This window comes from Homo sapiens, chromosome 6, assembly GCF_000001405.40.
Source record: "Homo sapiens chromosome 6, GRCh38.p14 Primary Assembly".
Taxonomy (NCBI): domain Eukaryota; kingdom Metazoa; phylum Chordata; class Mammalia; order Primates; family Hominidae; genus Homo; species Homo sapiens.
In genome coordinates, this window is record NC_000006.12 from 68018809 (window position 1) to 68040713 (window position 21905).

General features: G+C 36.4%; 2 annotated features.

Annotated features, from left to right (window-relative positions):
• Positions 19566-20258: an enhancer, noted in NCBI's record as "OCT4-NANOG-H3K27ac-H3K4me1 hESC enhancer chr6:68748266-68748958 (GRCh37/hg19 assembly coordinates)". NCBI's record gives its function as "activates a minimal SCP1, AML or CMV promoter by ChIP-STARR-seq in primed H9 embryonic stem cells {active_cell/tissue: H9 hESC(primed)}" and the evidence as "EXISTENCE:reporter gene assay evidence [ECO:0000049][PMID:30033119]".
• Positions 20259-20949: an enhancer, noted in NCBI's record as "OCT4-NANOG-H3K27ac-H3K4me1 hESC enhancer chr6:68748959-68749649 (GRCh37/hg19 assembly coordinates)". NCBI's record gives its function as "activates a minimal SCP1, AML or CMV promoter by ChIP-STARR-seq in naive and primed H9 embryonic stem cells {active_cell/tissue: H9 hESC(naive and primed)}" and the evidence as "EXISTENCE:reporter gene assay evidence [ECO:0000049][PMID:30033119]".

The window sequence follows — 21905 nt, forward strand, 5'->3', positions numbered from 1 at the left end:
ATGAGAAAGGATCAAGGTACTAGACAATTAGAATCTGGGCTAGAAACATCATGCAGAAGGGGATTAACCAGAAGGAAGATGAAGAATAAGTATAAGGTCTCTAGATTTCATCTACATAAAGGAGTGCCTCGATGTTATCCTCAGAATTCCTTTCTCTGTATACTAATACTGTTGCCTTTTTGTATTTTTTCAATTTACATAACCATATATATATATGTATATGGTTAATATATAACTGATCTTTGCTTTAATTTATATTTATGATATCTTTTGTCTAACTCAGATGAAATATCTAACATGTATTTATTGTTCATGCCCTACTACCTCACCCTTTGCTTCAGATCGCTGTTCAAATTTCAAAAGGCTACTTTCACTGCTGATTTTACCTATTATTCTCCCTTCCTCATGCATCTTCAGATGTTTTTCAAACTTAGCCCATCCTGGTCACTGAAGAGAATGTTAGCCCCCTGTGAATTCACAATTGCCTTCTAGTAACTATGTTTTCCTCTATATCTCCTTTGACAGAGATACTAGAATAAATAGTCTGATTGCCGTTCCGCCTATTTATTATGTGTAACTCTACAGTTCTGTAATTTCAGACCTTCGAATGTTGATAACAATATATGAGAAAGTTGAACATTTTCCTAAGCTAAGAGCAACTCATTCATGTGATGCTTAACCATAACATATATACAATTATTTCACTCAGAAATGATTGTTTGAGAAATTTTCCCTATTTTGGAATTTGACAATTTGCAAAGTGTACTTCACATATATTTAAGAAAATGTTGTTGAATGCAACTTTGTATTTCATGGACATTTATGAGAAATATTTATTAGCAACTAATATATGACATGGTATGTTACTTTGCACAGCTGTATTTCATTTAGGTTATATTTTTCATTATTTTCCTGTATTTTTAAAGTAGGTTTTTAGGATTTTCAGATAATGACAACAGCATGTCACTCTCAATAAACTGTTCTTACAGGAGGTAAGCTCTCTCTTTTCTCTTGAGACACTTGTAGCGTAATGCAGAAGGTGTCAAAAATAATTAAGATGAATGAATGTATATCCAATCAAATGAAATTTATCTTTGGAATTTTGACATTTTTTCTATGCTGTGCACGATTTTAATAAGAGCAAATCAAGTGTGCATTTTCTCAACAGGAATGGAAAGAATATTGTATAGCAGTTTTGAGTAATTAGTTGGTAGAATAATATAGGGAGTTCAAATCATTAGCAGCCTCTCTGTTTCAACTGTTACACAAACATGGTTAGGGCTTACGGCCTTTGATATTGGTAATTAGATAATCTTGCCAAATGAAATAATTTCTGTGACTTACATGAACATAAAACTAAGTTCGTCTGAAAAAGAATGCTGTTGGGTAATAAAAATAAGTTTTGTAATTTAACTTATGTATTGCAACCCTCTATTTGTTCAGGAAATTATAGACATCTCTAAAAGCTTCAGTAGGCCGGGCGCGGTGGCTCACGCCTGTAATCCCAGCACTTTGGGAGGCCGAGGCGGGCGGATCACGAGGTCAGGAGATCGAGACCATCCTGGCTAAAACGGTGAAACCCCGTCTCTACTAAAAATACAAAAAATTAGCCGGGCGTAGTGGCGGGCGCCTGTAGTCCCAGCTACTTGGGAGGCTGAGGCAGGAGAATGGCGTGAACCCGGGAGCCGGAGCTTGCAGTGAGCCGAGATCCCGCCACTGCACTCCAGCCTGGGTGACAGAGCGAGACTTCCAGAGAATATCTTTTTCTATTGACATGAGTATGTTTTACTATGAATATTTTACTCATTAATTAGTTTTCTGAAAAGGACTCCCTGCAACTACAGTTTCCTAAGATTTAGATTTGGTCATATCATTAACTCATTCACTCAGGTATCCAAAAGTCATTTGATATGCATAGGAACATTTCTTCAAAGTAAGTATGCTCGTATTTGTTTTATATAAGGTCACTGTCTTGTGGGTTACAAATTTGGGGATTCATTTACCCCCATTTTCAAGCTGTATCATTAATGTCCTCATGTACTGAGAAGTTGATAAGATTAGAAAAATTCACATCTTCATGCTGGTATTTAAAGCTGTGGTATCACTCTAATTCCTTGCTATCCAAGTTTCTTCAAATCTAGAGGTATGTCCCCAAGGAAAGAATCTAAATTCTATGATAGTGCATTCTAGCCAAGAAGTTGAGGCAGCCAAATTGTTCTCTGGTTTTCAAAATTTTATTTCAAATGGTCTCAGGTGTCATACGTAAAAATTGGTCTTCTACTTTCAAGGAAAAGAAGTTGCATTTTTTATCAGCATAGAAAAATTATATCCTGTCCACCACATATAGCCAGAATCTGAGAAATGATATAGAGCTCCTGATTCATTTTCTCCACATTGCTGGAAATTCTCTAATTAGGTACATGCACTCATCATCTCACACCATCAGCATGTGGATAACGAGAGGATCCTAGTCAGAGGAGGCAACTAGCCAAGGCCATGCCAGGATAGGAAATGCATACACTCCTGCAGCTGCCTTATGGGATCACAACGAGTCTGCATTTTTAGAAATGTTATGATAGTGTCAGTTTGAGTCACTAATGGCTACACAGAAAACGTACATGATACCAGCAACGTGACTGAGAGTGGTAATTAAATTTTATTTTCTGATGTCAGTATAAAATGATATAAACTACTATAGAGTAAAATAATATCTCATAAAAATATGTTTTGCATCATAGCAAATATTTTAACAATCAGCAATAATTACACTGAAGAATTTGGCAACTTACTAGCCAAAGTGAACTTAGCAAGTATGTCAGAGTGAGGTGAGAATTATATGAGCTAATGCTTGTAAAGTGGTCTAGTGCAAGGTGTAGCACTTCTGAAGCACTCAGCAAATATTGATTTCATTATTACATGTATTAGGCCTTCCTCCAACTATACTTTCAAAGCTTCCTATCTTCTGGCTTATAATTCTCCATGCTTGATAGGCACTACTGCAAATTTTTGTGACATGAAGTGGCAAAATTTTGCACTTATTAAATTGGTCACAGGAGTGCTTTATTACCTTTATTTCTGGGCTCTCATTCTGCACCTTTGGTTTATATGTCTTTATGTCTGTAATGTAGTTTTTTTATTATTATAGCTTTGTAATATATTTTGAAATTAGAATGTGCAATGCCTCAAAACACATTAAAAACTGAAACGTAAGACCTGAAACTGTGATATGCTTACAAGAAAACAGTGAAAATACTTCATGAGTTTGGTCTTGGCAATGATTTTATCAATATGACACCAAAAGCACAGGCAACAAAAATGAAAATAAACAAGTGGGACTACATCAAACTACAAAGTCTTTGCATTGCAAAGGACATAAGCCACAGAATTTGAAAAGGCAGCCTCTGAAATGGGAGAAAATATTTACAAACCAAATATCTGATAATAAAAATATTTCCAAAATATATAAGGAATTCCTACAAGTCAATAAGATAAAATAACCCAATAAAAATGGACTTGAACAGGCATTTCTTTAAAAAACATACAAATGGTCAACAGGTATATTTAAAAAATGCACAATGTCATTAATCATCAGATAAATGCAAATCAAAACTACAATATATCATCTTATAGCTGACAGGATAAATAGACACTATCAAAAAACAAAAGACAAAAAGTGTATTCAAGAATATGGAGAAATTGAAACCTTTCACGCTGTTGGAGGAATTGCAAAATGGTTCAGCTGCTATGAAAATAGCATGGAGGTTTCTCAAAAAAATAAAAATAGAACTACCATATGTTCCCACTTTTGAGTATTTATCCAAAAGAGTTGAAAATGGATCTCAAAGCAATATTAGAATTCTTATGTTTGTTGGAGCACTATTCACAATAGCTAAAATGTGGAAATAATCTAAATGTCTATCAGCAGATGATGGATAAAGAAAACAAAATGTTATTTATTCTGCTTAAAAAATGAAGGAAATTCTGCAATATGAAACAAAACAGATGAAGCTTAAAGAAATCATTCTTTTTTATTATTATTATACTTTAAGTTCTGGGATACACCTGCAGAACGTGCAGTTTTGTTACATAAGTATACACGTGCTATGGTGGTTTGCTGCACCCATCAACCAGTCATCTACATTAGATATTTCCCCTAATACTATCCCTCCCCTAACCCCCCACCCCCCAACAGGCCCCGGTGTGTGATGTTCCCTTCCCTGTGCCCATGTGGTTCTCATTGTTCAACTCCCACTTATGAGTGAGAACATGAGGTGTTTGGTTTTCTGTTCTTGTGTTAGTTTGCTGAGAATGATGGTTTCTAGCTTCATCCATGTCCCTACAAAGGACATGAATTGATCCTTTTTTATGGCTGCATAGTATTCCATGGTGTATATGTGCCACATTTTCTTTATCCAGTCTATCATTGATGGGCATTTGGATTGGTTCCAAGTCTTTGCTATTGTGAATAGTGCCACAATAAACATACATATGCATGTGTAGAACAATTTATAATCCTTTGGGTATATACCCAGTAATGGGATTGCTGGGTCAAATGGTATTTCTAGTTCTAGATCCTTGAGGAATCACCACACGGTCTTCCACAACGTTTGAACTAATTTACCCTCCCACCAACAGTGTAAAGCATTCCTATTTCTCCACATCCTCTCCAGCATCTGTGGTTTCCTAACTTTTTAATGATCACCATTCTAACTGGCATGAGATGGTATCTAATTGTGGTTTTGATTTGAATTTCTCTAAAGACCAGTGATGATGAGCTTTTTTGCATATGTTTGTTGACTGCATAAATGTCTTCTTTTGAGAAGTGTCTGTTCATATCCTTTGCCCCCTTTTTGATAGGGTTGTTTTTGTTTTTTTCTTGTAAATTTGTTTAAGTTCTTTGTAGATTCTATATATTAGCCCTTTTAGATAGATTGCAAAAATGTTCTCCCATTCTGTAGGTTGCCTGTTCACTCTGATCATAGGTTATTTTGCTGCCCAGAAGTGCTTTAGTTTAATTAGATCCCGTTTGTCAATTTTGGCTTTTGTTACCATTGATTTTGGTGTTTTACTCATGAAGCCTTTGCCCATGCCTATGTCCTTATTGCCTAGGTTTTCTTCTAGGGTTTTGATGGTTTAAGTCTTTAATCCATCTTGAGTTAATTTTTCTATAAGGTATAAGGAAGGGGTTCAGTTCCACTTTTCAGCATATGGCTAGCCAGTTTTCCCAACACCATTTATTAAATAGGGAATTCTTTCCCCATTGCTTGTTTTTGTCAGGTTTTTCAAAGATCACATAGTTATAGATGTGTGGTGTCATTTCTGAGGCCTCTGTTCTGTTCCATTGTTCTCTATATCTGTTTTGATACTAGTACCATGCTGTTTTGGCTACTGTAGCCTTGTAGTATGGTTTGAAGTCAAGTAACGTGATGCCTCCGGCTTTGTGCCTTTTGCTTAGGATTGTCTTGGCTATGTGGGCTTCTTTTTAGTTCCATATAAAATTTAAAGTAGTTTTTTTTTTCAATTCTGTGAAGAAAGGCAATGGTAGCTTGATTGGTATAGCATTGAATCTGTAAATTACTTTGGGCGGTATGGCCATTTTCATGATATTGATTCTTCCTATCCATGAGCATGGATGTTTTTCCATTTGTTTGTGTCCTCTCTTATTTCCTTGAGCAGTGGTTTGTAGTTCTCCTTGAAGAGTTCCTTCACATCCCTTGTAAGTTCTATTCCTAGGTATTTTATTCTCTTTGTAGCAATTGTGAATGGGAGTTCACTCATGATTTTGCTGTTTGTCTGTTACTGGTGGATAGGAATGCGTGTGATTTTTGCACATTGATTTTGTATCTTGACACTTTGCTGAAGTTGTTTATCTGCTTAAGAAGATTTTGGGCTGAGACTACGGGGTTTTCCAAATAAGCAAACATGTCATCTGCAAACAGAGACAATTTGACTTCCTCTTTTCCTAACTGAATACCCTTTCTTTCTTTCTCTCACCTGACTGCCGTGGCCAGAACTTCCAATAGTATGTTCAATGGTAGTGAGAGAGGGTATCCTGGTCTTGAGCTGGTTTTCAAAGGGAACGCTTCCAGTTTTTGCCTATTCAGCATGATATAGGCTGTGTATTTGTCATAAATAGCTCTTATTATTTTGAGATATGTTCCATCAATGCCTAGTTTATTGAGAGTTTTTAACATGAAGGGGGTGTTGAAAGCCATCTGTGGAAAGTCAAATACTGCATAAGTCCAGTCATACCAGGTCTCTAAAATAGTCAAATGGATAGAATCAATGAGTGGAATGGTAGTAACCAGAGGCTGAGAGGAGGGGGAAATGAGGATCACTACTCAATCAGCATAAAATTTATATGAAGCAAAATAAATAAACTTTACAGGTCTGCTGTGCGACATTGTACTTATAGTCAACAATTAGTTATTGTACACTTAGAAATTTTTGAAGAGGGTTGGTCTCATATTAAATGTTTTTAACATAATAAATATAAATCTCTCACTGTCTCTCTCTCTCTATATATAATTCTGATGATAATGACATTGAACATTTATTTCATATACCTGTTGCCCATTTGTTTTTGTTATTTTTAAGATATGCCTATTTGAGCCTGTCTCTCTATTTCTCTCTCTTTCAGAGAGCGAAAATGGTACAATAAAGGTAATAAAATTCATTCCTTATGCTTATATAGGGATGTAAAACAAATTAGGAAAATTCATCTAGAACAAGGAACAGCATACTTTTTCTGTTTAGGCCTAGATATTAAAAGTTTTCAGTTTTGTTATAGTGAAAAAGAGTTTTCTAAAAGGACAAAATGAAGGTAGACTATGAAGAGTGTTTTGGGGGGCTCCCCTTAAAATCCTGCTGTGGAGGTTTAGTAGTTCCTTTGGGAATTAATCCCAAGAAGCTAAAGTAAGAGACCTAGAAGAGTGAGTCAGGGGAGGATGAAAACACAATTCAAGAGTGCATTTTTATTTTTACTGCTGTGTGCAACAGAAGGGACTCTGCCAGACATCCTGAAATGTACAGTTGCTTTACAGAATTCTCTGCTTGAAAGGCTAATTAATCCTTTAGCTCCTACCTCCTGTTCATTGAGGGCACCCCAAGAACATTAACTCCAGTACTTCCGGGCTGAAGTGCATATGAGTTAAGGAGGCTCCTACGGCATTAGAGAAGGACGAGAGGCAGAAAAGTGTATCTGTGCCTCTGGTGTTGTGCTGTAAGTTTGAGATAAGCCTGACTTACATAGAGCAGTTCATCATTGCTGCTACTGAAATAAGAGGTGAACCAAAGAAAATAAAGGAAATAAAGACTGCTATCATCTGCTGCTTACACAGATCAAATTTACAAATGGGGAAACACTTACTGTACATTCTTTTTTCCCTGCTCAAATTTATTGAGGTATAATTGATATATAAAAATTGTATATATTTAAGGTGTACAATGTGATGTTTGGATATATGTATACACTGAAATAATTAACAAAACCAAACTTGTTAACCTAATTAACCTATCACTTCATATAGTTTCTATTTTGTGTGTCTATTTGTGATGATATAATCAAGGTTGACTTTCTTAGCAAGTTTCAATTACCTTACATTATTATTAACTGTTCTTGAAGTGTCTTTGTCAGGTCCTCCATCAAGAATCTCCTTTTAGATCAGCAAGACCTTGATCTAAAAATAGGCTCAGAATTGGAACTGGTGGGGAAATCACAATATTGACACTATGGTATCTGACATCAATTAATTTTTGCCAATATGATAGGTAAAAAGCAACAACAGTATTAGTTTTTTATTTTTTTCTCTTATGAGGAGAATCCAGAATATTTTCATAAGTTTAACAGTTAGTTGTGTATCTGTTTTTGTGAATTGTTTGTTCATGGCTTTTGCCCATTTTTCTATCAGGCTTTGAGAGTTATTTTTGCTATCAAATTATAAGAATTATTTTTAGGACGTGTGAATGGCTCATTCCTGTAATCCTAGAAATTTGAGTGGACCTGGGGAAGAGACCGCTTAGGTCCGGCAGTTTGAGACCAGCCTGGGCAACATGGTAAAAACCTGTGTCTACAAAAGAATACAAAAACCAGATGGGCATGGTGATGCATGCCTATAATTCCAGCTATTCAGAAGGCTGAGGTGAGAGGATTGATTGAGACCAGGAAGCCGAAGCTTCAGTGATCCATGATAGTGCCACTGCACTCCAGCCTAGGTGACAAAGTAAGACCCTGTCTCAAATAAATAAATAAATAAGAATGATTTGTATACTGGAGAGATTACCCTTTTGCACATAATCTGTATTGCAAATAGTCTCCCAGTTTGACACCTCTTTTTAAATATTGTTTATGGTGTTTGTTGCTACCATACAAACTTTTTTTTTAAAAAAGTAATGTAATTTGATTTTGAATTTGAATTTTGAAGCACAGTTAAGTTTTTCCCAGGACACTTAATAGCACTTGTATGTTTGACATGTCTTAAACTAAGAGCATTAAAATCTATTTTTAATATATTTTGTCAGTCTCTCTATGTATTTTCTGTAGCATCTGATTGTAAGAAATATATACATTTTTTAATATGGCCCAAAGATCTTCAAAATCATTTATACCACATGAGAAATCTGACCTTTACTTTGTAAAGCATCTTTCTCTTCTTTCATTTCTTTTGGCTTCAATTCAATCTTGTATGCGACTAGGTTCACATTCAATGCTTTTTTACTGTCTCCACTTGCCATGCACACTCTTGCCTACAGAACATCTCTGATCTGAATTTCTGTAATAGCATCCTGACTGGTCTTTTGTGAACACTGATTGTCCCCTAAACTTTGTTTTCAAAGCATCAGCTGGAGCAATCTTTGTAAAAGTTAAATCATAGTATGCCATTCCTCTCCTTAAAGGTTTGCAACAGCTTCTTGTGCCACTTGGAGTAAAACTCAAATTTCTTAAAGATGGCTTGAAATGTCCTAAGTGTTCTGGTCCCTCACTGCCTGTCTGGGATCCTCATCTACTCCTTGCTGTTCCTGATCCAACTACATCAGCGACCTTACTGATCTTTGGGATTCCCACTCACATTCTCACCTCAGGGAATTTACACTAGCTATGCCCTTTAGTTACCACACCTCTCACATATCTGAATAGCTGATTCCCTCAGTATCTTCAGATCTTTGCTGAAATATAAAATTTAAATTCTTCCCTCATCACCTTTTTAAATATTACAACATGGCCCTGATCCCTCTCACCCTGATCTACGTTTGCTAATTTATTATGGTTATTGTTACTGTGCCTCTCCCTACTAGAATGAAGGCACCAGGAGGAGAGGGATCTCACACAATTTGTTCACTGACGTGTCCTAAGAACCTAGAAAGACACCAGAACATAGTTGGACTCTGAATAATATGTGCTACATGAAGGTCTTTTTCCCCCTCCTACTAATCTTGCATCATACAGATATATTCTTCTTAATAATGCCAGTGATCTTTCAAAGCATCATAGAACCACACTATCTCCTTTATTTAAAACCTTTTAGTGACATCCCATCACCTTTAAAGTGAAACTAACTTCCCTAGCCTGAGGAGCAAGGCCCTTCATACTTTATACCCAGGCTCTCTAATCTTTCACAATTCCCATCTCACATTCTGAATTCTAGCCATGATAAATTGCTCGCATTTTGCCAAATATGCTATGTTTTCTCACAACTCTCTGTCCCTGCCCTTAGGTAGGGTGGCTATATAATTTATCGTCTCAACCAGGATACTTCTGAGAGTTAAAGTGGGTGTTATTAATAATTGCACCAGAACATCAGGCACAAAGTAGGACGTTCTCAGACAAACAGGGATGAATGGTCAGGTATGTTACCCTCAGGCTTTCTGCCTGAAATGTCCTTCCCAAGTTCTTCGCTGATACTGGCAAAACATCTTTCGTGTTTTCAGCTTCTATATCACATCCTTAAATAAGCCTTTTCAGATCTCTGATTCACATCAGACATCCTTCATTCATACCTGATAATACCAATCACTTCTTTTACCATAATTACCATTTACTTATCTGGGGGCCCATACGAGTGTACATGTGCTTCTTAAAGGCAAGGAGCTTCAATCCCTGGCACTAGACACAGAGTATACCAAATAATAGATAATATATTGTGAGAGTGTAAGGTTCGGAGTTGAGTTTATGGGCTGTGGTGCCAGACTAATGAGTTTAAATTTGGGATTTTCCGAATTTTAGCTGGGTGTCCTTGAGCAATTAAATAGTCTGCCCGTAGAATGGTTGTGGAAACCAAATGAGATAATACCATAATGAATAAGCATAATGTAAGAACTCAGTAAACCTTAAATACTTCAGCAGTAATTCAATAACAATTCACTGAATAAATAACTTTTCTACCAAAAATATTAACCATATAAATATTATAATTAATATTCTCACTGGAATCTTAGATAGAACACCTATGCACATAATATTTCAACTGATCACTCCCTCAAGAAAACTGCTAGGAAGAACTAGCTCATACATTATAGTATTTTCTATTCATAGTGAGAAAGCTCATTCAAAGCATTAAATGACTTGCACAGAAATTGAGAGAATTGGGAGTTAGTATGCAAATTAACTGTAACACAATCTTGTGTCTTCACCCTTCATCCATGTGCTCTCTCGGCCTAAAATATTCCTCCCTTTTCCCCCAGCCAATCTTCACAATTTAGGATGAGATTTCACCTCATCCAGGAACTTTTTCTAGTTTTGCTCTTGCCTCCTCCCAGCCAGGCAAGGTGCCCCTCTCCTGGGCAGCGCTGTGCTGGACTTTGCTATCTGAGCTGTTTTGCCATCTAGGCCAGGAATTGTGTCTTTTTTGTTTTTCTCAGAATCTGTCTCTAGGAGCTAGCTGCTATGCTTGATATTTAGTAGTTGCTTTACTAAACCTGACTCTAAATCTAGTTATAATTTCAATATTCCAAGTGGCTGCTGAAAATTGGCCTTAGAAATTTTTGCTACAAAATGAACATGTGCATGCACACACACACACACTCACACACACACACATGCACAAAAAACTGCATGTTAAACAGAAAATGAGATGTTAATTGGAAATACTGATTTGAAAAATAATACTGGCATTTATTAAATATTTGTTCTGCGCCCAGCACTCTGCTAAGAACATCATACATGTTTTTGTTGTTGTAGTTGATTTTCCATTTTTGACTTACAGTAACCCTATGGACAAAGTATGGCCTTCCACCTTATAATTATACTATCATTCTCATTCTACACATGAAGAAAACATATTTACACCATTCTTCATGTTTTGTTTGTTGCAAAACTTTAGGTCTAGATAGAAGAAAATATTTAAAAAGAAAAGATGCAATTCTAACATATATCCACTTATCTTAGAAAAATTATCAGATGATACATTAGTAGTGGGGGTAGGGAGAAGTTTTAGAATGAAATTCATGACTGTGCCATTTCTATTTTCTCATATACATAAGGAAAGTCTTTATGTTCTACAAACACATTACAAAAGAAATATCTCCTCAAATTATTATGTAGAGATGGTTCATTCATATACTTTTGCTCTCAAAAATCATCTTTTATTATAGAGTCCCCTAATGAATATCTGATTTTTCTTTTCAAGACATTTATTTGATTCTTCCAGGATTCTTAGTTTATTCTTCAAAATCATATATTTTCTACTAAAACTTTTAGAAGTTAATTTAGGTTTTCCTTTATATTTTGCAATATAAAACATCTGATTTACTAAAATTAAGTGTATTATTTACTACATATTGTTTATTTTTATAAACATTTCAGAGTGGTACACCTAATACTTTTCCTATGCGCACCTATACATCTATTTGTAAGATTTTATGTAATGTGTATATGTGTAAAAATACCATTAACATTTTTTCTCTGAGATCACATAGAGTATTTGAATCTGTTTAGATAGTGACATATGGGCTGCTGACATACGACAATGGATACAGAAGTATATGGTAATAGCCTTTGCTGACTTCCATGACTATACTCAGTAGAAATAACTAAAATTTATTGCATTACAGTGAGTTAAAAATGATACTAGCATTTAGTTTGGATTTGACATCTTATTGCCCTTTTTATATGGATTCGTATTAACTTTAAGACTCTTCCTAGAGCAGCAAATCAGCCCCATAATTTCCTCCTTGGTGCTTTGCAATGGCTCTTGAGCTTTTTTCCCCTCATCAATATTGCAAGTAAGTTTGTGCTTCCAGGAAAGAAGAAAATTAAACTGTAGCATCACGATGGCCTCTGTTTCTCTTTCTCCAGCCTTATAGTTCTTATATCCCAACAGTTTGACCTTTCAGTGATTTTAGAATACATAATTTAATTTGCACAATCCACAGCAATTTCATGACTTTGGAAATCCTTCAGAATTCAAGACTAACACTGCTCCTATCATTGTTGCTGTGGCAGGAACTGCTGACTATTAGAAAATGAAAACAACAAATGAAGAGGGATTCTTTTGTTCCAAAATTTGAGAAGAGTAAGAAAGAAAATCTGTTTCTATTGCTTTATGATTCTTATCATGGTTTATGTGTAAATTTGTTAGAAAATGATTAGATAATTTAGAAATGACTTATTTTAACATCTACAGATGTCAGTTAGCAGACATGTTATAAGAAACTTCACAAAGACACAAATAGGAATTACGTAAAAGTTAATGAAACATAAAAAGTATGTTTGTTCGCCAGGCGCGGTGGCTCACGCCTGTAATCCCAGCACTTTGGGAGGCCGAGGCGGGCAGATCACGAGGTCAGGAGATCGAGACCATCCTGGCTAACGCAGTGAAACCCCGTCTCTACTAAAAATACAAAAAAAAAAAAAAAAAAGCCAGGAGTGGTGGTGGGCGCCTGTAGTCCCAGCTACTCAGGAGGCTAAGGCAGGAGAATGGCGTGAACCTGGGAGGCGGAGCTTGCAGTGAGCAGAGATCGCGCCACTGCACTACAGCCTGGGCGACAGAGCGAGACTCTGTCTCAAAAAAAGTAAAAAATAAATTTAAAAAGTATGTTTTTTTTTCCTCCATGTATGTATGCATGCTCTTATTTTAGAAAAGACTTAATCAGGCCAGGTGCAGTGGCTTATGCCTGTAATCCCAACACTTTGGGAGGCCAAGGTGGGCAGATCACCTGAGGTCAGGAGTTCCAGACCAGACTGGCCAACGTGGTGAAAACCCATCTCTACTAAAAATACAAAAATTAGCCGGGCATGTTGGTGCATGCCTGTAATCCCAGCTACTCGGGAGATGGAGGCAGGAAAACACTTGAACTTGAGAGGCGGAGGTTGCAGTGAGCCTATATCCGCCACTGCACTCCAGCCTGGGCTACAGAGTGAGCCCTCGCCTCAAAGAAAAAAAAAGAAAGAAAAGACTTAATCATTGGTCACTGTTTAGTAAATAGGTAGTTTTGCTTTACTGATTATTATTTCTTACTTGGGAAAGGGATGTGTTTAAAGGTCCCATCTTCTACTCTCTACATTTCAGGGTGGAATAATTACACAAGCATAGTTAAATGTATGCAAAATGCCAAATCCCTATAAAATAAGAGTTATTGTCTTTTTATTTGACAGTAGTAATGAAACTGACATACTAAAACTGAATTTTTAACTGTGTCTGCACATGCTACTCGTTCAAGTGGATTACTTTCACTCGTATATCAAAGTAAACAATTGTTTGATTCCACTAACTGGCTTTTAAACTGTCTTTATAAAAATCGGCCAGTGAGATTATTGAAATGTGCAACTGCTGAGATAACCTGGTGAAACAATTTTTACGGTGATATTATGCAGTCTGATATCATATTATGTAATAAATTCAGTAGATGAACTGGAATTTAATAGTTATTTCTATAACAATTTTAAAAATGAAATGAAAGATGGATTGATCTAACCAGAAAATAACAACTATAGAGAAAAAAATTATGAGTTTATTCTTATGAGATGTAGCCTGCACTAAAGTGGAAGTTTCAAATATTTTGTCCATTCATTTATTTTATAAACTAAGTATTATGTTTTAATGAATTCATATCAATTTTATTTTTATTGTATTGGAAATAATTTATTAATATCTACAGAATCATTTATTTAATAAAATAACTCAATTTTATGACCAATCTATAATACAGAAGAAAGTGGAATCTTATGGCTGAAAGGGGAACTTTAAGGGACCCCACATTATAAGTTTCTTCATTTCTAGGCACAACTGAAGAAAACTATAAAACTCAAAATTTTAAAACCACTACGTGTGTTAATGTTATTGATCACTACCATAATCACTGACATTTTAATTTTGACAGGACAAAGACGATTCAGTATCTTAGTCTTCTCTTGACCCTCATGATATTTTATATAGGTCCTTTCTTTCCAATAAAATATGTTAAAATAGTTGCTAGCTTAAAAATGTTTCATAAACATTCAAACTATAAGCAAAGTTTTTATAGGAACTCAATACAAAAAATTCCCTTCTCTGTTCCTTATAGATAATGGATTCATCAATACAGTTAATTCGCATAAAAAAATTACCTTTCTGAAACACAATGTTGTGATTGGCATAAGTTTCAATATAATGCAAGTCAATAACTAATTGGCATATATAGAAATATTTCATAGCATATTTTCTTGACACACCTAAGTGAATTAACTCTATAAATATTAAATGTTTACTTTTGATATCTCATTAATCATAAAGAAATTTTATTATTACTATCAACATTTGATTTAATAGACCCGGAAATTTTAAACTTAGGATACTTCAAATGTCAAAAACAAAGATATTTCTGAGACTAAATTTGAATTTATAATTTAAATCTTTCTAATTGCATGTTCACATCATGTTTTTGCAAGATAAAATCTTTCCTTTTGAGAAAGTAAGCTCTATTCTGGGGGACTGTCAATACTTTAAGGAAAGAAAAGAAAATGTAGTAGGATAAGAGAAAAGAAAAAGAAGGCTTTCAATTCTGGGAACGAATGGAGGGCAGGAGCGAAAAAAAGAGAAGAAAGAATGAGAAAACATGAATGATCGAGAAGTTTTTCTTGCCTCAGATTCCATGTAGTACAATCTACTAAGACAGTGTTCAAACATTCTTGAAGCATATAAAGAGTACTCCACATGAGCATCAGTTTTATGTGAAAAATAAAAATTTTTAAATAGTTAAAAGATATATATTTTTTCCATTAGAAATATATATTTTTATCAGAAAAAAATGTTTAATAACCCACATATTAAATATACAGGAGCTGAAGTGAAGTAGAAGATACTTCTTGGACTGAAATACAGGAAATAAACCTTGAAAACTGAAAGTAAAATTATTAATTTCCTTAAAAAATAATGGAAATGCATATTAATAGGTATTGGTGGATCATTATTTAAGCATTAATTAAATTCTTTAATCTTGTGCCTAGAAATGTAAATTTAGTTCTTGAAAAGCCTTCAGGATTTGGAAACTTAACTGACTGTATACATTTTTCTTAGCTATTATAAAATTCAGATTTGCTGCACATTGTAAAATTCTAAAAATAAATTTAAAAGTTTCTTCTTACTTTTCTTCTTTCTGGTTCAATCTTAATTTTTTTTCCAAAAATGTTTTGTTACTTACACACACAGACATATGTGTGCATGTACATGTATATATATATTTTACCATATTAATATTATAAGCTTCTGTATATTAAAAACACCATTAAATAGCAGGCAAAAAATACAACTTTGGAGAAGATATTTCAATGCATATAATCGAAAAATAATTGTAGTATATATTATACAATAACGTTGTGTACATTGCTTTGGTTTGAATGTGTCCCATAGAAAATTCAAACATTGCCAATATGATAGTATTAAGAGGTAGAGCATTTAAGAGGTGATAAGGTCTTGAGTGTGCTTTTCTGATGACTGGGATCAAGGCTCCTATAAAGGGCCTTCTTCACACAGTATTTGTTCTTCTGCCTTCTGCCATGTGAGGACATGGGATTCCTGTGTTGTGTGGCCTTCTCCCTTCCACCATGTGAGGACACAGGATTCCCATGTCTTGATGCCTGATGCAACATCAAAGCCCCATCTTGGAAAAAGAAAGCAGTGCTCACCAGAAAACCTAACCTGCTGGTGCCTTGACCTTGGACTTTCCAGCCCCCAGAACTCTGATGAAATACAATTTCTGTTCTTTATAAATTACTCAGTCTACCATATTTTGTTACAGCAGCACAAATGGACTAAAACATACAGGAAAAGCAGAAAGACAATTGACATAAGATAGACAATGGCAAAAATATAGACATTTCCCTGAAAAAAATGCAATAATATTTAATAAATACATTAAAAATGTCAACCTAGTCAGTAATTAGGGATTTGTTAAATAAAACCTTAATGAAAAAAATTCAAACCACCACATCTGGCAGCGATAATTTTGTCAGATAATATTAGCATCTGTGAAGAAATGTAACAGCGTAGACCCTAATACACTGCTAATGAAAAATCAACTGATACAACTACTATGGACTGCAAGTTGATAAGTATTATGTAAAACTAAATATGCACATCCCAACTATCAACACTTCCACTACTAGGTAGATATTTTTACTAGATACTTTTAAACAAGTGTATAAGAAGCCCCAGAAAATAATACATAGTCATAGGTTATAAAAATATTTATCGTTCATAACAAGTCCAAAGATAAACAAAAGGTAATAAAACAATCTACAAACAAGAGAATGGAAAAAGCATATGTCATTTATAATAGAAAGCTTTATACTTGAGTAAACAACAATGAAGAACAGCTTTGTGTATCACCATGAATGAAGCTTAGAGAACAATACAATGAAACAACTGAATTGATACCACATATACAAAGCTCAAAAAGTACTTAGGGCCGGGCGCGGTGGCTCACGCCTGTAATCCCAGCACTTTGGGAGGCCGAGGCGGGCGGATCACGAGGTCAGGAGATCGAGACCATCCTGGCTAACACGGTGAAACCCCGTCTCTACTAAAAATACAAAAAATTAGCCGGGCGAGGTGGCAGGCGCCTGTAGTCCCAGCTACTCGGGAGGCTGAGGCAGGAGAATGGCGTGAACCCCAGGGGGCGGAGCCTGCAGTGAGCCGAGATCGCGCCACTGCACTCCAGCCTGGGCAACAGCGAGACTCCGTCTCAAAAAAAAAAAAAAAAAAAAAAGTACTTAGAACTAACATTCAACTCCAAAAATCCCATTACTAGGAAAAAACCCAATGGAAAATAAATCATTCTGTCAAAAAGACATACACACTTGTATGTTTACTGCAGCACTATTCACAATAGCAAAGACGTGGAATCAACTTAGGTGCCCATAAACGGTGAATTAGATAAATAATATGTGGTACATAAACACCACGGAATACTACACAGCCATACAAAAGAATGAAATCATATGCTTTGCAGCAACATAGATGCAGCTGGATATTATCCTAAGCAAATTAAATCAGGAACAGAAGACCAAATACCACATGTTCTCACTTGGAGTAGAAACCAAATATTGGGAACAAATGGTAATAAAAGTGGAAATAATAGATATGTGAGACTAGTAGAGGGAAGAAAGAGAGGGGGGACAAGGGATGAAAAACTACCTGTTGGGTACTATGCTTACTACCTGGGAGACTGGATCATCATTAGTACCCTAAACCTCAGTGTCACCCAATCTTACCATGTAACAAACCTCCAGATGTACCTTCTGAACCTAAAATAGAAGCTGAGCTTTCTTTTTTCATTTTTTTTTCTTTTTTAAGAATGTTTAGAAGAAGAGAGGGGTGCTCCTCATATTGAAGTTCTCTTGTTTCACTGGAGGGCACAATATGGAGGTTACAATCATTGGCTACAGATTGTAACATATAGGCTAAAATGTCTATAGGTAAGACAATCAGTAAAACTTCGTGATTCAGAAACAAATCAGCGTCTTTCTCAATATTAGCTGTTTATGCATGAATCAGTATATACGCAATTTGAGGAACTCAGAATTTTTTTTTTTTTTTTTGAGAGATGGAGTCTCGCTCTGTCACCTAGGTTGGAGTGCAGTGGCGCGATCCTGGCTCACTGCAACCTTGCAACCTCCATCACCCGGGTTCAAGCCATTCTCCTGCCTCATCCTCCTGAGTAGCTGGGACTACAGGCATGTAGAAAATATTTTTTATCCTAAGGTTTTCTTCACCCTAAGGAAAGGATGTCATTATGAATCACACCACCTCCCAAGACAGGTTAATTTGGAAGCCTGTTTACTTTTAAATTGCCAAAAGTAACCTAAAGGTTAGTTTTACAAATGTTAATAGGGTTGGCTTTACTGTATCAACAAACAGAAACCAAGACTTAATGACAAGTATGAGTATCTCCAGAAGGGTTAGGGTAAATTAGTGTCAATAGGATTATTTTTAAACTGGAAACAAATAAGTTGATAATTCAACTAAATGAAAACACTAGCTATGACCATAAAAGTCACTTAACCTCCCTGAACCCATCTTTCTGCTTATTGAAGTAAAAGCATTATTTCTATTATTTTATTATTCTAAGTTAAAAACCATGTGATTAAACAACAGAATATATATCTAAAGTTCATAGGTGACTATTCATATAAATTCTTTCTCTTTGTGAAATATGTGTATCTAATTATGACTTCCAGGATATTTATTTCAGTTTCTGAATCCAAGGAGGTAGGATTTTTTCTTTTTAATTTCTTTAAGAAGGGCAAATCTTGACTCTGGGCTATACATTATTCCAAATAATCATGCTAGATTGAGCAAGATCATTTCACAAGTTAGCCAAACAACATATCATTCTTATTAAGAATCATTGCAATGGCTTTTTCCAAAAAGGGTATACAACTCTTTCCATGACAACATATACAAGATAAGCAAACCAAGGCCCAAGGATCAAACCTAGTCTGTTATTAATTATTGTAAATCAAGTTTTATTGGAACACAGCCATACCCATTTATTTGCATAGTGCCCTTGGCTGTCCTACAGTGGCTATTTGAATAGTAAGGATAGAATCTATCTAAATTGCAAAGGCTAGAATATTTGCTATGTGGCTTATTATAGAAAGTGTGCTGACCTGGTATATTAATTAGTCCGTTTTCACACTAATATAAAGATACTACCTGAGAATGGGTAATTTATAAAGGAAAGAGGTTTAATTGACTCACAGTTCCCCATGGCTGGGGAAGCCTCAGAAAACTTATAATCATGGCCGAAGGTGAAAAGGAATAAGGCACGTCTTACGTGGTGGCAGGAGAGAGAGAGAGAACACACATAGGTGAAAATTGCCACTTTTAAAACCATCAGATCTCATGAGAGCTCCCTCACTATCATCATAACAGGATGAGGGAAACTGTCCCCATGATCCAATCAACTCCCAACAGGTTCCCCCCTTGACATGCAGGGATTATAATTTGAGATAAGATTTGGGTGTGGATACAGAGCCAAACTATTTCATTCTGCTCCTGGTCCCTCCAAAATCTCATGTCCTTTTCATATTTCAAAACCAATCATGCCTTCCCAACAGTCCCCTAATGTCTTAACTCATTCCAGCATTGACTCACAACTCCAAGTCCAAAGGCTCATCTGAGACAAGGCAAGTCCCGTCTGCCTATGAGCCTGTGAAATCAAAAGCAAGTTAGTTATTTCCAAGATACAATGTGGGTAAAGGCATTTGGTAAATGTTTCTACTTCATATGGGAGAAATTGGCCAAAACAAAGGTGACACAGGCCCCTTGAAAGTCTGAAACCCAGCTGTGCAGTCATTAAATCTTAGAGCTCCAAAATCTCCTTTGACTCTGTGTCTCATATCCAGGGCAGGCTAATGCAAGGGGTGGGCTCCCACACCCTCGGGCAGCTCTGCCCCTATGTCTCTGCAGCGTGCAGCCCCTGAAGATGTTTTCATAGGCTGGTGTTGAGTGCCTGTGGCTTTTTCAGGTGCATGGTGCAAGCTGTTGGTGGATCTACCTTTCTGGGGTCTGGAAGATTGTGGCCTTTTTCTTACAGTTCCACTAGGCAGTGCCCCAGTGGTACTCTGTATGAGGGCTCCAACTGCACATTTTCCCTCTGCATTGCTCTAGTAGAGGTTTTCCGTCAGAGCTCCAATGCTGTAGCACTTTTGCCCAGACATACAGGCATTTCTATGCATCCTCTGAAATCTAGGCATAGGCTCCCCAAGTTCAACTCTTGTCTTCTGTGCACCCCCAGGCAAAACAGCAAGTGGAAGCTGCCAAGGCTTGGGGCTTGCACCCTCTGTAGCAACAGCCTGAGCTGTATATAGGCACCTTTTAGCCACGGCTGGAGCTGGAGTGGCTGGGACACAGGGTACCAAGACTGGAACCTGCACAGAGCAGCAGGGCCCTGGGTCCAGCAAACGAAGCCATTTTTCCCTCGTAAGCTTCTGGGCCTGTGAAGGGAGGAGCTGCCATGTCTGGGCTATTAACATTTAGCTCCTCTTTACTTGTGATGCAGATTTCTGCAGCAGGCTTGAATTCCTCCCCCAGAAAATGGGTTTTTCATTTCTACCACATGGTCAGGCTGCAAATTTTTCAAACCTTTCTGCTCTGCTTCCTTTTTAAACATGTTCACATTTCAAACCATCTCTTTGGGAAGTCATATAACTGAGCACTTTTGGAATAAGCCAGGTCACATCTTGAATACTTTGCTGCTTAGAAATTTCTTCTGTCAGATACTCTAAATCGTCTCTCTCAAGTTCAAAGTTTCACAGATCTCTAAAGCAGGGACAAAATGCCACCAATCTCTTTAATAAATCATAGCAAGAGTGATATTTGCTCCGGTTTCCAATAAGTTCCTCATCTCCATCTGAGACCACCTCAGTCTGTACTTTATTGTCCATATCACTGTTAACATTGTGGTCACAACCATTCCACAAGTCTCTAGGAAGTTCCAAATTTTTCCACGTTTCTGTCTTTTTCTGAGCACTCCAAATTGTTAAAGCCTCTGCCTGTTACCCAGTTCCAAAGTCATTTTCCTTATTGTCTTGGCTATTAGCATTCAGCTCGTCTTTACTTATGATGCAGATTTCTGCAGCAGGCTTGAATTCCTCCCCAGAAAATGGGTTTTTCATTTCTACCACAGGGTCAGGCTGCAAATTTTTCAAACCTTTTCCAGTTGTCTTTATAGCAGTGCCCCACTCCCAGTACCAATTCTCTGTATTAGTCTGTTTTTACATTGATATAAAGGTACTCCCTAATAAATTAGAATAGGATAAATATGAACATTTAGAAGACTGGATTGTTATAAATTGTTTTATTAACATGCATGTGTAGATGGATATTTTCAGGACCTAGAAATGATGGGGGGGAGGGTTATGCAATAAGTTAAATTATAATAAAAAATCATTTGGGCACAATTTGAACAAAAATGCTACTATTCACTTATCATTATGTAATGCCTAAGGTTCTTGCCTAGCCACGCCAAAGAATTTGTGTGGCAGCTGACCGTGGTGAGGGATAGAGACACAGACCGAGAGAGAAAAAGGCTGTAGGCTTTATTGAGCAGATTGAAAGGACAAAGCTTCCACAGTGTGGAAGGGGTCCCGAGCGGGTAGCCAGAGTTAGATTATGTGACTGCCTTTTAAACTCTTTAAGGCCGGAAATACGTGTGGCGAGATGTTACCAGAGCGAGAAACAAAGGCAATTAACCGTTTGTAACATGTCTTAGATCTTGAGGAAAACTGGAATTGCAACTTAGGTTTTATCTACTTTATGAACTTGCAGCAGCATGGCAAAGGAGACGGGATCTTACAGGACTTTGTTACAAAGTATGTTTTCAAGGAATTGGAATTGGGAGGATAGATAAGGTCCGCTGGTCACAGAAAAACAGGCAGTTAACGTTCCTTTTACTTTAGTTTCGGGGGAGGCGGAAGAGAAAGAGAG